Source organism: Homo sapiens, chromosome 17 (genome assembly GCF_000001405.40).
Source record: "Homo sapiens chromosome 17, GRCh38.p14 Primary Assembly".
Taxonomy (NCBI): domain Eukaryota; kingdom Metazoa; phylum Chordata; class Mammalia; order Primates; family Hominidae; genus Homo; species Homo sapiens.
The window spans coordinates 1393993-1409959 of record NC_000017.11 but is presented as its reverse complement, the minus strand read 5'-3'; the positions used below and the strand labels follow the sequence as shown (position 1 = coordinate 1409959).

At 49.9% G+C, this 15967-nt stretch overlaps 1 protein-coding gene across 2 annotated transcripts in view, besides 5 other annotated features; it reads left to right on the top strand.

The window, feature by feature from the left end:
* Nucleotides 7066–7681: an enhancer, noted in NCBI's record as "NANOG-H3K4me1 hESC enhancer chr17:1305573-1306188 (GRCh37/hg19 assembly coordinates)". NCBI's record gives its function as "activates a minimal SCP1, AML or CMV promoter by ChIP-STARR-seq in primed H9 embryonic stem cells {active_cell/tissue: H9 hESC(primed)}" and the evidence as "EXISTENCE:reporter gene assay evidence [ECO:0000049][PMID:30033119]".
* Nucleotides 7682–8297: an enhancer, noted in NCBI's record as "H3K4me1 hESC enhancer chr17:1304957-1305572 (GRCh37/hg19 assembly coordinates)". NCBI's record gives its function as "activates a minimal SCP1, AML or CMV promoter by ChIP-STARR-seq in primed H9 embryonic stem cells {active_cell/tissue: H9 hESC(primed)}" and the evidence as "EXISTENCE:reporter gene assay evidence [ECO:0000049][PMID:30033119]".
* Nucleotides 9240–9877: an enhancer, noted in NCBI's record as "NANOG-H3K27ac-H3K4me1 hESC enhancer chr17:1303377-1304014 (GRCh37/hg19 assembly coordinates)". NCBI's record gives its function as "activates a minimal SCP1, AML or CMV promoter by ChIP-STARR-seq in naive H9 embryonic stem cells {active_cell/tissue: H9 hESC(naive)}" and the evidence as "EXISTENCE:reporter gene assay evidence [ECO:0000049][PMID:30033119]".
* YWHAE (tyrosine 3-monooxygenase/tryptophan 5-monooxygenase activation protein epsilon) overlaps nucleotides 9738–15967 on the top strand; it is a 55948-nt gene continuing 49718 nt past the window's right edge. For both annotated transcript variants that reach the window (NR_024058.2, NM_006761.5), the window contains exon 1: nucleotides 9738–9913. Coding sequence is in view for 1 of the 2 variants with exons in the window: in NM_006761.5 (NP_006752.1) it covers nucleotides 9850–9913 (64 nt within the window). In the remaining variant the exon portion in view is untranslated. The remainder of the gene's footprint in view (nucleotides 9914–15967) is intronic.
* Nucleotides 9878–10515: an enhancer, noted in NCBI's record as "NANOG-H3K27ac-H3K4me1 hESC enhancer chr17:1302739-1303376 (GRCh37/hg19 assembly coordinates)". NCBI's record gives its function as "activates a minimal SCP1, AML or CMV promoter by ChIP-STARR-seq in naive and primed H9 embryonic stem cells {active_cell/tissue: H9 hESC(naive and primed)}" and the evidence as "EXISTENCE:reporter gene assay evidence [ECO:0000049][PMID:30033119]".
* Nucleotides 10516–11153: an enhancer, noted in NCBI's record as "NANOG-H3K27ac-H3K4me1 hESC enhancer chr17:1302101-1302738 (GRCh37/hg19 assembly coordinates)". NCBI's record gives its function as "activates a minimal SCP1, AML or CMV promoter by ChIP-STARR-seq in primed H9 embryonic stem cells {active_cell/tissue: H9 hESC(primed)}" and the evidence as "EXISTENCE:reporter gene assay evidence [ECO:0000049][PMID:30033119]".

Here is a 15967-nt window from a genome sequence, read left to right as displayed (position 1 = left end):
ATTATATCTCTTATTTAATACTTCTCTGAAGCTCCAAGTCAATGCAGAAAGAAGTTAGAATTAAATAAGAACTTGGCTGGGCGCGGTGGCTCACGCCTGTCATCCCAGCACTGTGGGAGGCCGAGGCGGGCGGATCACGAGGTCAGGAGATCGAGACCATCCTGGCTAACACGGTGAAACCCCGTCTCTACTAAAAATACAACAAATTAGCCGGGCGTGGTGGCGGGCGCCTGTAGTCCCAACTCGGGAGGCTGAGGCGGGAGAATGGTCTGAACCCGGGAGGCGGAGCTTACAGTGAGCTGAGATCGCGCCACTGCACTCCAGCCTGGGCGACAGAGCAAGACTCCGCCTCAAAAAAAAAAAAAAATTAGCCGGGCATGGTGGTGGGCGCCTGTAGTCCCAGCTACTAGGGAGGCTGAGGCAGGAGAATGGCGTGAACCTGGGAGGCAGAGGTTGCAGTGAGCCGAGATTGTGCCAGTGCACTCCAGCCTGGGCAACACAGTGAGACTCTGTCTCAAAAAAAAAAAAAAAGAACTAATAAGACAGAGTTCAGTAAGGCAGTTGGGTACAAGATAACTATCAAAAATCATGGATTTGGGGCTGGGCGCAGTGGCTCATGCCTGTAATCTCAGCACTTTGGGAGGCTGAGGCTGGCAGATGGTTGAGCCCAGGCATTTGAGACCAGACAGAGCAACATGGCGAAACCCCGTCTATACAAAAAAAAAAAAAGTGATTTTTGTATATATCAGTGGAAGTATAGATCAATCAGAAATATAAAATAGGGCCGGACGCAGTGGCTCACGCCTGTAATCCCAGCACTTTGGGAGGCTGAGGTGGGCGGATTGCCTGAGGTCAGGAGTTCAAGACCAGCCTGGCCAACATGATGAAACCCTGTCTCTACTAAAAATACAAAAATTAGCTGGGCGTGGTGGCACATACCTGTAATCCCAGCTACTCGGGAGGCTGAGGCAGGAGAATTGCTTGAACCCGGGAGGCGGAGGTTGCAGTGAGCCGAGATCGTGCCACTACACTCCAGCCTGGCCGACAGAGCGAGACTCTGTCTCAAAAAAAAAAAAAGAAAAAAAGAAATATAAAATGGGGGAGAGCCCATTTATAATTATCAATAGCCTCCTAAATACTTGGGAACAAAGTTAATTAGAAATATGTGAGACCTTTATACATCTAACTATACAATTGTACTTAAGATCATTTCAGGCTGGGCGCAGTGGCTCACGCCTGTCATCCCAGCACTTTGGGAGGCCGAGGCGGGCAGATCACCTGAGGTCAGGAGTTCAAGACTAGCCTGGCCAACATGGTGAAACCCCATCTCTACTAAAAATAAAAATTTAGCCAGGCGTGGTGGCGTGCGCCTGTAGTCCCAGCTACTCAGGAAGCTGAAGCAGGAGAATCGTTTGAACCCGGAGCAGAGGTTGCAGTGAGCCGAGATTGTGCCACTGCACTCCAGCCTAGGCGACAGAGTGAGACTTTGTCTCAAAAAAAAAAACAAAAAAATCATTTCAGCAAGGAGACTGGAATAAAATTGGAGAATTTTCCTGAGAAAACTCATTTTTGAACATATCTCCAATTCTTGGGCTGGGTGCAGTGGCTCAAGTCTGTCATCCCAGCACTTTGGGAGGGCGAGGCGGGTGGATCACCTGAGGTCAGGATTTTGAGACTAGCCTGGCCAACATGGTGAAATCCCATCTCTACTAAATACAAAAAATTAGCCAGGCGTGGTGGCACATGCCTGTAATTCCAGCTACTTGGGAGGCTGGGGCAGGAGAATCACTTGAACCTGGGAGGCAGAAGTTGCAGTGAGCCGAGATTGTGCCATTGCACTCGAGCCTGGGCCACAAGAGCGAAACTTTGTCTCAAAAAAAAAAAGAAAAAAGAAAAGAAAAAGAAAAGAAAAAAAATTTCCAATTGTCTTTTAATTAATCTATAAATTCAGAACAGCCCCCCAAAAAACCTACATGGGTCTTGAGAGAACTTTTCTTTTTTTTTTTTGAGATGGAGTCTCGCTCTGTCGCCCAGGCTGGAGTGCAGTGGTGCGATCTCGGCTCACTGCAAGCTGCGCCTCCCGGGTTCACGCCATTCTCCTGCCTCAGTCTCCCAAGTAGCTGGGACTACAGGCGCCCGCCACCACGCCCGGCTAATTTTTTGTATTTTTAGTAGAGATGGGGTTTCACCGTGTTAGCCAGGATGGTCTCGATCTCCTGACCTCATGATGTGCCCACCTCGGCCTCCCAAAGTGCTGGGATTACAGGCATGAGCCACCGCGCCCGGCCGAGAGAACTTTTCAAGTTGATTCTGAAGTTCATCTAGCAGAGTAAAAGTATAAAATCAGTGAAATTTTGAATAAAAAAATGTTCTACCAGATATAAAAACATACTATAATGGTATTATATTTAAAATCTTATCGACATAAGAACAAACAGATCAGAGGAAATGAATAGAAAAATTCTAGAACCAGACATAGGAAAATTTGAAACATAATAAACATGTCATTTCAAATCACTTTAGATATGGATTTTTTTTTTTTGAGACGAGGTCTTGATCGGTCGCCAGGCTAGAGTGCAGTGGCTCAATCTCGGCTCACTGCCCCCTCCGACTCCCTAGTTCAAGCGATTCTCCTGCCTCAGTCTTCCGAGTAGCTGGGATTACAGGTACGTGCCACCACACCTGGCTAATTTTTGCATTTTTAGTAGAGAAGAGGTTTCACTATGTTGGTCATGCTGGCCTTGAACTCCTGACATCATGATCTGCCCGCCTCGGCCTCCCAAAGTGCTGGGATTACAGGCGTGAGTCACCGCGCCAGGCCTTGTTTTGTTTTTTTGAGACATAGTGTCTGTCACCCAGGCTGGAGTAAAGTGGTGTCATCAAGTCTCACTGCAAACTCCAAGTCTTGGGCTCAAGCAATTCTCTCTCCTCAGCCTCTTAAGTAGCTGGGACTACAAGCACACACAACCGTGCCGTTAATTTTTGTATTTTTAGTAAAGAGAAGGTTTCAGTATGTTGCCTACACTGGTCTCAAACTCCTGGGCTTAAGCGATTCCCCCCACCTAAGCCTCCTAAAGTGTTGGCATTACAGGCATGAGCCACCAAGCATGCATAGATTTTTTTATTTCTTCTTTGTTCTTTTTCTTTTTTCTTTTTTTCAAGACAGAGTCTGGCCCTGTTGGCCATGCTGGAGTGCAGTGCTGTGATCATGGCTCACTGCAGCCTCCACCTCCTGGGCTCAAGCGATCTTCCCACTATAGCCTCCGGAGTAGCTGGAACTACAGGTGCATGCCAACACCTGGATGTGCAGTGCATCCAACAATTTTTTGTAGAGACGGGGGTCTCACAGTGTTGCCCAGGCTGGTCTTGAAATCCTGGTCTCAAGCGATCCTCCCACTTTGGCCTCCTAGAGTGCTGGGATTTCAGGCATGAGCCACTATGCTGAGCCTGGGTTTTTTTTGTTTTTTTTTTTAAATACCATAAAGTCTATTGATTTTTTTTTTTTTTTTTTGAGACAGAGTTTTGCTCTGCCACCCAGGCTGGAGTGCAGTGGCATGATCTTGGCTCACTGCAACCTCCTCCCCCCGGGTTCAAGCGATTCTCCTGCCTCAGCCTCCCGAGTAGGCTCACTGCAACCTCCTCCCTCCAGGTTCAAGCAATTCTCCTGCCTCAGCCTCCCGAGTAGCTGGGATTATAGGTGTGCGCCATCATGTCCAGCGAATCTTTGTATTTTTACTTTTATTTTTATTTTTTTTTTTTGAGATGGAGTCTCGTTCTGTCACCCAGGCTGGAGTGCAGTGGCATGATCTCAGCTCACAGTAACCTCTGGCTTCCGGGTTCAAGTGATTCTCCTGCCTCAGCCTCCTGAGAAGCTGGGATTACATGGGGATTACACCCCCATGCCCGGCTAATTTTTTGTGTATTTTTAGTAGAGATGGGGTTTCACTATGTTGGCCAGACTGGTCACGAACTCCTGACCTCATGATCCGCCCGCCTTGGCCTCCCGAAGTGCTGGGATAAGAGGCATGAGCCACCGTGCCCGGCCTTTGTATTTTTAGTAGAGAAGGGGTTTCACCATGTTGGCCAGGCTGGTCTCAAACTCCTGACATCAGGTGATCCACCCGCCTCAGATTCCCAAAGTGCTGGGATTACAGAAGTGAGCCACCGAGCCTGGTTAATGATATTTTTTAACATCTTATTTCCTTCTCATAGTGCTTAGTACACTGCCACATATCTAGGGGCTCTCCGGACGGACTGAGTGAGTTCTTGTTTCTTATTAAAGCAGATTTTCTATCAGGCAGGGAGACTTACACTTGGGGTTGTGACCTATGACCTGGAGATTGTGTCAAAGGCGTTTCAATAGCAAGTGAAGTATCTATGGCCGCAGCAGCCGTGAAAAGCGCAGGACCGTATCACGACAGCCACTTCTGCGCAGCACCAGGATGTTTTATATCTGTTTATAATCCCGAATGCTACATCAAAATTGTTTCTGTCTATTTTTGGTGCCCTATCAACCATGTCTGCCCGTTAGTTCCATGTATTGAGAGAACGGGCAGTGCAGTCACACCAGCAATCTACGTGTAGGGTTTCTGCCGTCTCAGCAGTTACGTAGGAAGAGGCACTTTTGGAGAGACTTCGGCGGGTCTGGGGAGACACTGTACAGAAGCTTCTTTGTGAAAGAGACGGCCGATAGCTTCTTTCCCCAGCACAGACAGCTGCATAGCCACGGCAGCCCCTGTAATCAACCCGGCAGCAGAGCTGTCTTTGTAGGTAGGTTTGTGAATGTGTGGACCAAATCCTTAATTTGGCCACCCCTATTGGCCACTCATTGCTCTCAAATTACCTGTCTGTCTTCACTGCTCCTCTCAGGAGACCCCTATGCTTACCAGTTCCACTTTCTCGACTTCCCTGAGCTTCAACCAAATGCAATCTGGCTTCCAACACCATTTCGAAACTCCTTTTGAAGGTCACTAATGACCTAATCGCTATATCCAATGGCTTTCCCTCAGTGCTAATCTGACTTATGTCTCTGCAGAATTTAATACGACTGACACCTCCTTTTATTCTTTTTTTTTTTTTTGATATGGAGTCTCACTCTGTCACCCAGGCTGAGGTGCAGTGGCGCAATCTCAGCTCACCACAACTTCCGCCTCCCAGGTTCAAGTGATTCTCCGGCCTCAGCCTCCTCAGTAGCTGGGATTACAGCCGCGTGCCACCATGCCCAGCTACTTTTTGTATTTTTGGTAGACACAGGGTTTCACCATTTTGGTCAGGCTGGTCTCAAACTCCTGACCTCATTATCTGCCCGCCTTGGCCTCCCAAAGTGCTGGGATTACAGGCGTGAGCCACTGTGCCCGGCCAACAGCTTCCCTTCTATTTGGAATGCGTGTCCCCTTTTACAACTCCTTCGTGGTCATTTTTACCTGGGTGATCCTTGGGTACCTGCGGATCCCTGATCCTCTGAACCAACATGTGCTAAAAGAACTTTGTCTTTCTCTGCATTCCATCAGCAAGTGTTCCTAGCATTCCCATTTTTTGTTAATATTCTCAGGGTGGAAAGATGGAAAGTCAATTTTTATTATAAGATCTTCAATCTGGGCCAGGTGCGGTGGCTCACGCTGGTAATCCCAGCACTTTGGGAGGCTGAGGTGGGAGGATCACCTGAGGTCGGAGTTCAAGACCAGCCTGGCTAATACGGTGAAACCCTGTCTCTACTAAAAATACAAAAATTAGCTGGGCATGGTGGGGCACACCTGTAATCCCAGCTACTTGGGGGGCTGAGACAGGAGAATCGCTCGAACCTGGGAGACAGAAGTTGTGGTGAGCCGAGATTGTGACATTGCACTCCAGCCTGGGCGACAGAGCGAGACTGTCTCAAAATTAAAAAAAAAAAAAAAGCCCTCTCCCTCTCCCTCTCCCTCTCCCCACAGTCTCCCTCTCCCTCTCTTTCCACGGTCTCCCTCTGATGCCGAGCCGAAGCTGGACTGTACTGCTGCCATCTCGGCTCACTGCAACCTCCCTGCCTGATTCTCCTGCCTCAGCCTGCCGAGTGCCTGCGATTGCAGGCGCGCGCTGCCATGCCTGACTGGTTTTCGTATTTTTTTGGTGGAGACGGGGTTTCGCTGTGTTGGCCGGGCTGGTCTCCAGCTCCTAACCGCGAGTGATCTGCCAGCCTCGGCCTCCCGAGGTGCCGGGATTGCAGACGGAGTCTGGTTCACTCAGTGCTCAGTGGTGCCCAGGCTGGAGTGCAGTGGCGTGATCTCGGCTCGCTACAACCTCCACCTCCCAGCCGCCTGCCTTGGCCCCTCAAAGTGCCGAGATTGCAGCCTCTGCCCGGCTGCCACCCTGTCTGGGAAGTGAGGAGCGTCTCTGCCTGGCCGCCCATCGTCTGGGATGTGAGGAGCCCCTCTGCCTGGCTGCCCAGTCTGGAAAATGAGGAGCGTCTCTGCCCGGCCGCCATCCCATCTAGGAAGTGAGGAGCGTCTCTGCCCGGCCGCCCATCGTCTGGGAGGTGAGGAGCGTCTCTGCCCGGCCGCCCCGTCTGAGAAGTGAGGAGCCCCTCCACCCGGCAGCCGCCCCGTCAGAGAAGTGAGGAGCCCCTCCGCCCGGCAGCCACCCCATCTGGGAAGTGAGGAGCGTCTCCGCCCGGCAGCCACCCCGTCCGGGAGGGAGGTGGGGGGGTCAGCCCCCCGCCCGGCCAGCCGCCCCGTCCGGGAGGTGAGGGGCGCATCTGCCCGGCCGCCCCTACTGGGAAGTGAGGAGCCCCTCTGCCCGGCCGCCACCCCGTCTGGGAGGTGTGCCCAGCAGCTCATTGAGAACGGGCCATGATGACAATGGCGGTTTTGTGGAATAGAAAGGGGGGAAAGGTGGGGAAAAGATTGAGAGGTTGGATGCTTGCCGTGTCTGTGTAGAAAGAGGTAGACATGGGAGACTTCTCATTTTGTTCTGTACTAAGAAAACTTCTTCTGCCTTGGGATCCTGTTGATCTGTGACCTTACCCCCAACCCTGTGCTCTCTGAAACATGTGCTGTGTCCACTCAGGGTTAAATGGATTAAGGGCGGTGCAAGATGTGCTTTGTTAAACAGATGCTTGAAGGCAGCATGCTCGTTAAGAGTCATCACCACTCCCTAATCTCAAGTACCCAGGGACACAAACACTGCGGAAGGCCTCAGGGTCCTCTGCCTAGGAAAACCAGAGACCCTTGTTCACATGTTTATCTGCTGACCTTCCCTCCACTATTGTCCTATGACCCTGCCAAATCCCCCTCTGCGAGAAACACCCAAGAATGATCAATTTAAAAAAAAAAACAAAAAAAACACAAAAAAAACATTATATTATCGACTATACCTTAAATTATAATAAAATGTTATATATGTAATGGTAAAAAAAAAAAAAAGAGCTGCAATCTGATCAGCTGCTTGTGGCTTCCCTCTATAGTGCTATTCCTATTTATCCTTTCCTTTCTATTTTCATTGCTCCCACGTATTACGTTTGGTTATCCTCCTCTTTAATCATTGCTATGGAATATTTGTTAATATTTCTGAAATATAACTATGATGACATCATCCTCCACGCAAAATCATACAGCTCCCTTGGCCACAAAATAGGATGCAAGATTGGGTGCGTTGGTGCAAGCCTGTAGTTTCCCAACTACTTGGGAGGCCAAGGTGGGATTGCTTGAACTCAGTTTAAGGCCAGTCTGTGCAACGTGGCAAGATCCCTCCCTCTCCCCACTTTATTTTTTGAGACAGGGTCTCGCTCTGTTACCCAGGCTGGAGTCCACTGGTGCAATCACAGTTCACTGCAGCCTCAACCTCCTGGACTCAGGAGATCCTCCTGCTTCAGCCTCTGAAACTGCTAAGATATGGCTCAGGCCTGTCATCCCAGCACTTTGGGAGGCCGAGGTGGGCAGATCACGAGGTCAGGAGATCGAGGCCACCCTGGCTAACATGGTGAAACCCCGTCTCTATTAAAAATACAAAAAATTGGCCGGGTGTGGTGGCATGTGCCCGTAGTCTCAGCTACTTGGGAGGCTGAAGCAGGAGAATTGCTTCAACCCGGGAGGTGGAGGTTGCAGTGAGCCGAGATCACGACACTGCACTCCAGCCTGGGCAACAGAGCGAGATGCCGACTCAAATAAAAAAAAAAAAAAACGTTTTTATAGACATGGAGTCTCGCTATGTTGCCCAGGCTGGGCTCAAGTCATCCTTCCGCATGGGCCTCCCAAGCGCCAGAAGCTGAAGCAATGTTCACTGAGTTATTCCTGCCTCCACAATCTTTATTTGATCTTGGTCCAACTCTTCTGTACCATGTACTCCACACCACCCTCATCTAACAAATTCCCTGCTCCTATTCATAGTGGGCCTAGGGAGGGAAAAAGGTTAAACAGGAGAAGACAAAGATCAGTGTGAGGGGAAAGTTGAGGCGTGAAAACTGGAGCTCCCCTGTCCCTGACAACTGTAACAGGGCCCAGTTCGTTTTTTTTCTTTTTCTTTGTTTTGAGACAGAGTTGTGCTCTTGTTGCCCAGGCTGGAGTGCAATGGTGTGCTCTCGGTTCACTGCACCCTCCCACTCCCGGGTTCAAGCGATTCTCCTGCCTCAGCCTCTGGAGTAGCTGGGATTACAGGCATGCACCACCACGCCCAGCTAATTTTTGTATATATATATAATTTTTCTTTTGAAACACAGTCTCACACTGTCGCCTGGGCTGGAGTGCAATGGGAGGATCTCGGCTCACTGTAACCTCCGCCTCCCGGGTTCAAGAGATTCTCCTGCCTCAGCCTCCTGAGTAGCTGGGATGACAGGCATGCACCACCATGCCAAGCTAATTTTTTGTATTTTTAGTAGAGACGGGGTTTCACTATATTGGCCAGGCTGGTCTCGAACTCCTGACCTTGTGATCCTCCCGCCTTGGCCTCCCAAAGTGCTGGGATGACAGGCATGAGCCGCCGCGCCCGGCCAGGGCCCGGTTCGTTACCCTGAGTCTAAAAGTGTCTGAAAAAGGCCCATGACCAGGCTTGGCCGAGAAAACTAGGACGTGGGCTGGGCGCGGTGGCTCACCCCTGGAATCCCAGCGCTTTGGGAGGCCGAGGGGGGGCGGATCATCTGAGGTCGGGAGTTCGAGACCAGCCTGGCCAACATGGTGAAACCCCATCTCTATTAAAAATACAAAAGCTGGGGGTGGTGGCGGGGGCCTGAAATCCCAGCTACTCGAGAGGCTGAGGCAGCAGAATCACTTGAACCCGGGAAGGCGGACGTTGTGGTAACCCGAGATCGCACCACTGCACTCCAGCCTGGGGAACAAGAGGGAAACTCCGTCTCAAAAAGAAAAAAGAAAAAAGAAAAAAGAAAAGAAAACCAGGGCGCGGTAGTGACAGCCTCAGATTTCGGGAAAGAAGACCTGCCATGACAGAAACCGTTACAGCCTCCGTCGTTCTTTTCCGCAGGTCGGGCCTCGGGCCCCGGTCTGACCCAGGTCTCTCGCTGGCTTTTTTCAGGAGCAGTCCCGGCCGGCCCCGCCTCAGCCCTTCTCGTTCCCCGGGGGCCGCTCCCTTTCGGCAGTCGCAGTTCCCGCCTCTGGGCTCCGGCGCCCGCTGAGCCGACAGAGGAGAGGCGTCTCGTGCGCTCGTTCCAGCCGCTTCGGGCGCCGAGTTCCAGGACCCGCCCCCCGCGCCAGTTGCCAGGGAGCGGTTGCCATAGAGCTGAGCAGTTGTCCGCGTGCGCAGGCGGAAGTCCCGGATTGAGGCGCCGCCATTTTTGCTGCCCGGACGCGGAGCGAGAGGCTGAGAGAGTCGGAGACACTATCCGCTTCCATCCGTCGCGCAGACCCTGCCGGAGCCGCTGCCGCTATGGATGATCGAGAGGATCTGGTGTACCAGGCGAAGCTGGCCGAGCAGGCTGAGCGATACGACGGTGAGTTGGGGGGGCAACGGGGGGCTGGAATTCTCGGACCCTCTGCCGCCGCCCACAGAGGCCGGGAACAGGAGACAAAATGGCGGCATCGTCTGCGAGCCTGGCCCGGGGGCTTGGGTTCGGGAAGCAGGAAATGGCCTGGGAGCTCCCGGGGCGATGGGAGGCTCTATGCCCTGGAATGTGACCCCTTCGCCGTCCTTAACTGCAAACAACTCGCGGGCCGGGAGGCCGGGGCGACGGGGTGGAGGAGTTGGTTGTAAAATGGCGGCTGGGGGGAGGGCGAGTCCCGGGGCGGGGGAGGGGGAGGAGATGGCGGGTGCTGTCTCCGAACGAGCCACCCTCATGGGAGCTTCTGGGACGGCCTTGGGATGTGGAGAACAATTGGGTGGGGTGACGGGGGAAGCAGCACCCGCCACATGGGAGAGAGCGAAGACCGGGAGCTGTAGCGCGGGCGCCTTTCAGGGAAATATGGCGGGTGGGGGCGGTGGCTTTTCCCCGGAGGCCCCGTGTGGGGCGGCGGCCGTGGAGTCTCACAAAGGAGGACCTTTGAGAGCGATGGGCTTCCTCAGGCCTGAGGTGGGGGACAGTCGTGGATGATGGTGGGGGGAGAGGGGTGAGTGGGAATCACTGCAGTTCGTCTTCGGGCGGTGGCAGGCTCCCATGCTGCGATCGGGTTTCTTTCCCGTAGGCCGGCACCTCGTAGTGAGGGGTTTCGGGGCTTTTCCTCCTCGTCGTCTTCTGGGGAGGCCCAGAAAATCCTCACTCCCTCCCTTTCCTCAGACTTAAAACAGGAGATCTCGAAGTTCCTGTAACCTTTCTCTGGCTCCATCACCCGTGGGTTCTGATGGATAGAACCAGGAGGCCACGACTCTGAGAGTTCGAGCCTTTGTAGAGCCCGAGCCTCCGTCCCCCCGTTTGTAAAAACGATGACTTTACAGTTTGTGCGCACCGTGATGACAAATGGGAAGACCTGTTGAAATAAAGTTATTTCCAATAGTGTTCAGTAACTGTATTTTGGTTGACTCTGCAGGCTCGGAATGCTGGTCTGTACTTCGTGGGGGATCTTAACCTATTCCAGGCGCTCGGCTGAGGCTGGGTTTTTTGAGTTATGAAGGTTGAAGATCCTGTTGCTTTCTTTTTTTCCGTTTTAAATAAATGGGTTTATGTAGAAATATTAGTAGGTCCTCTTTGTTCGTTGTTCTTTTGCCCCTAATGGGTTCTCCAGTCCTTTTTCAGAACTTCATCGAATGTCCATTGTGTCTGTCCAGTCATTGTCAGGAAGTTTATTCTTAATCCTCTCTCCCAGTCCACCTTTTGGACCACCTTTTGAAATACCCACACATTTATAATTGTGCGATACTGTAGTATTAAACGAAAGGTCATGTCTGTGGGTCCTGTGGTTTTAATGCTTTTGCGTGGTAGGGTGGGGTGAGACATGGTTGGAATCAAGTATCTTTGATTCTTAGATTTTTTTCCTAATTAAAATACCTATATTTCAAAATGTTAGGGCCCTTGCTTTCCTCGAAATGCGGATTTAGTCATGTGAATAACCTCAGGGTTAGTCCCCCTTATCATCAGAAATAAGATTCAGGGATTTGAAAATAAGACAAGGCCTCTAGAACTCATATTTAGGAAATATAGTGAACTAAATTTCGTCTTGTAAATTCTTAAATTGCTATTTGTATTCAACAAGGTTCCTGTTGGGGGGGGGGATAAGATGGGGAAGTACAGCTCAAGGTCTGCTTTGTCTTTATTTCAGTGTTTAAAAATCAAAGAGATATGAATGTGCTTGTATTGGAAGTCTCCTCCTCCGCCCCCTCATCTCCAGATGTTCCCCTCTTAATCTGTTAGTGTTCTTGGGAGGAAACAAATTGTACTTGAATGCTTTCTATTTTGTGGGTATTGGGGCTTTTTAAGTAAACTTGCTGTGATAACTAGAAAGGATGTGAGGAAAGGTCTTTTTCTTTTTGAAAGCTCCTTTAAAAAACTGATTTGAAAGCTTGTGATTGTAGTTTCCAAATAAAGTACAGGTTAGTGATAATTATATTTTTGATGTGAGTGGTGAGGATTTCTGACCAGAGCCCTTATTGGTTATTGAACATGGGACTCTGATACAGCCACATTATTACAGTTGTTAATGTTAGGTGTCCCCTTCAGGATCTAAAGGGGTAAGGAAATAGGATCTACAAGGTGAGGAGCTATTGCTGTGACTTGGGGCATAAGGTAGGGACTCAGTGGAAAGGAGAGGAGGAGGAGGAGACAGAAACCAGGAATTTCTACCTGTGTCCTCTACCTGTGTCCATTCCTTTATTGAGTGCGGTATTTTTTTGTTTCTGGTGGCAAAGTTTTCCCGGAGTTCTGGTCACCAAACAGAACTTAGCAGGTGTCGGGGGTGGAAGAAGGTAAGACAGTGTATTGGCAGGATTTCTTTGTTGGGTACTTGTACCCAAATGCTGGGTTTCCAGCTGCCCTTTTATCTCTCTGTTACTGCAGCAGGCTTATTTTATTTTGCTTGCTGTGTTGAATTAGTGCCTAAACTTCTTTGTATCCTCATTTAATTCTATCCTGGGGCGTTGGAATCAATTTATATGGATTATTTAACAGTACGGGAGGAAGAGCTAACCTGTGTTCAGGAAAATGACAATTTTGGGTCACAGGAAATATTTAAGTTTGGGGCTGGGAGTTGAAGATTAAATCTAGCATCTCATCACTTTAACAAGCCAGTAGTCTATTCGAATCGTTTTTACCTCCTTTGAAACCATATTAAGCAAGTCCATTATTTCTTAGCATTTCTCAAACAGCTCTTACTGTCCCGTATATGAAATAGTACAAGAAAGTGGGGAAGAAAGGCCGGGCGGGGTGGCTCACGCCTGTAATCCCAGCACCTTGGGAGGTCGAGGCGGGTGGATCACCTGAGGTCGGGAGTTCAAGACCAGCCTGGCCAACATGGTGAAACCCTGTCTCTACAAAAATAAAAAAATTATCCGGGCATAGCTACTGAGGAGGTTGAGGTGGAAGAATCACTTGAACCCGGGAGGTGAAGGTTGTAGTGAACCAGGATTATGGCATTACACTACAGCCTGGGCAACAGAGCGAGACTCTTGTCTCCAAAAAAAAAAAAAAGAGGCCAGGTGCGGTGGCTCATGCCTGTAATCCCAGTACTTTGGGAGGCCAAGGCGGGTGGATCACCTGAAGTCAGAAGTTCGAGACCAGCCTGACCAACATGGAGAAACCCCGTCTGTAGTAAAAATACAAAATTAGCCGGGGGTGGTGGGTGCCTGTAATCCCAGCTACTTGGGAGGCGGAGGCAGGAGAATCACTTGAACCCGGGAGGCCGAGGTTGCGGTGAGCCGAGATTGCGCCATTGCACTCCATCCTGGGCAACAGCAACAATAAAAAACGGGGAATATAGAGGGGAAAAGTTTACCCGTTTTTGGGGAGCAGAGGGGTAACATAAACTACATTTGGGCTTGTGGGGCTGTTGTTGGTTTTGTCCTTTCCTAGTCTCTTCCCTATCAAGATTGGCTTCATGGAAGGTAGGATGAAGTTTTGATGGTCATGTTGGATTCCCTAGGAATGCATCTGTTGAGTCATTTACTTGAGAGCTGTCTTTTTTTTCTTTTGAGACGGAGTCTCGCTCTGTCTCCCAGGCTTTATTGAAGTGGCACAATCTCGGCCCACTGCAACCTCCGCCTCCAGGGTTCAAGCGATTCTCCTGCCTCACCCTCCCGAGTAGCTGGGACTACAGGCATGTGCCACCATGCCATGCTAATTTTGTATTTCTTTTTTAGTAGAGACACGGTTTCTCCATGTTGGTCAGGCTGGTCTCGAACTCCCGACCTCAGGTGATCCGCCCACCTCAGTCTCCCAAAGTGCTGACATTAAGGACCTGAGCCACCGCGCCTGGTCAAGAGCTGTCTTTTTTTTGAGACGGAGTCTTGCTCTTGTCGCCCAGGCTGTAGTGCAATAGCGCGATCTCGGCTCACTGCAACCTCCATCCCCTGGGTTCAAGCGATTCTCCTGCCTCAGCCTCCAAGAGTAGCTGGGATTACAGGCATCCGCCACTATGCCAGGCTAATTTTGTATTTTTAGTAGAGATGGGGTTTCGCCATGTTGGCCAGGCTGATCTCGAACTCCTGACCTCAGGTGATCCGCCCGCCTCGGCCTCCCAGAGTGCTGGGGTTACAGGCGTGAGCCACTGAGCCCGCTGAGAGCTGTCCTTTTAAAACACCAGATCCTCATCTCTAGCTAGCTTATTCTGCTAGTTAGTGAAGAACAGGGAAGGGAGCATGTGTGGAATGAACTTTTTACTACGGTCTTGTTAGGAAAAAAATAGGTAGTAGTAAATTAACGTTGTTAATAAGTTTAGAAGTATTTAGATTAACTACCAGTTCTTTGACTGTAGGCCAGTAATTTTCCATTGCCGTTTCAGTTAATGGACTAACTTTCTGGAGTAAAGTTTATTTTTCTCCTTCTTAAATGCATAGACAGAACTGAGTAACGTAGTGTTAAAAATCCCTTCTACGACTGGGCTCTGTCCCCCAGGCTGGAGTGCAATGGCGTGGTCTTGGCTCACTGCAACCTCCGCCTCCCAGGTTCAAGCGGTTCTCCTGGCTCAGCCTCCCAAGTAGCTGGGACTACAGGCGCGTGCCACCACACTCGGCTAATTTTTTGTATTTTTAGTAGAGACGAGGTTTCACCATGTTGGCCAGGATGGTCTTTATCTCCTGATCTCAGGTGATCTGCCCACCTCAGCCTCCCAAACTGCTGGGATTACAGGTGTGAGCCACCGCACCCAGCCAATTTTTGTGTTTTTGGTAGAGACAGGGTTTTACCATGTTTGCCAGGCTGGTCTTGAACTCCTGACCTCAGGTGATCTGCCTGCCTCGGCCTCCCAAAGTGTTGGAATTACAGGCGTGAGCCACCACACCCGGCCTGATTGTTTTTTTTTTTCATGGATGACTGTAAGGGTGACTGATACTGCAGGCATATTTTTTCTTTATATTTCAAGAACACTGTGTACACAAACAGTAATGACAAGCATGGAGTAAAGGCTGCAGTTTTATTTTTATTTATTTTTTTGAGACAGTCTTGCTCTGTCACCTAGGGTGGAGTGTAGTGGTAGGATCTCGGCTCACTGCAGCCTCTGCCCCCTGGGTTCAAGCGATTCTCCTGCCTCTGCTTCCCGAGTAGCTGGGACTACAGGCGCCCGCCATCGCACCTGGCTAATTTTTGTATTTTTAGTAGAGATGGGGTTTCACCATGTTTGCCAGGCTGATCTCTGACTCCTGACCTCAGGTGATCCTCCCGCCTCAGCCTCCCAAAGGGCTAGCATTACAGGTATGAGCCACTGTACCTGGCCTAAATTTTTAATTTTTTAATGGGCACATATTAGGTGTATGTATTTATGGGAAGGCTAAATTAAAAAAAAATTTTTTTTTGAAACAGGGTCTTGCTTTGTGACCCAGGCTGAAGTGCAGTGTCGCCATTATAGCTTACTGCAGGCTCGACCTCCTGAGTTCCAGTGACCCTCCTGCCTCAGCTTCCCTAGTAGCTGGGACTGTTGCACCGGCCTAATTTTTGTGTTTTTTTTTTTTTTTTTTTTTTTTTGTGGATTTGAGGTCTCTATGTTGCCCAGGCTGGTCTTGAATTCCTGGACTCCCACCTTGGCCTCCCAAAGTGCTGGGATTACAGGTGTGAGTCACTGCTTCTGGCCTAAACTTTACATATGTGTATATGACATTATGCAGTACCTCAGTTCACAGCCCACGTTGACAAAAGTTTTTAATTTATGTAACAAGATTGAAGCAGGTAGAGCGTTACTCCCATTTTCTGGTTCAAGAAAGTGAGTTTGAGAGAGAGATTTTTTTATGATCATGTGGCTAATCAGTTATTAAATGGTAAAGCCAGAACTTAGTGTCTGCTGACCTTTAGATCGGTACACTTACTCTCAGCCACTCAAAAGACCTCTGTGAAGTAAGGTGGTGCCTTTCAGGGGAGTAGGGGGTGAGTAGCGTATGCTTGATGCTTGTTCTTTAACAATTCTAATAGCAT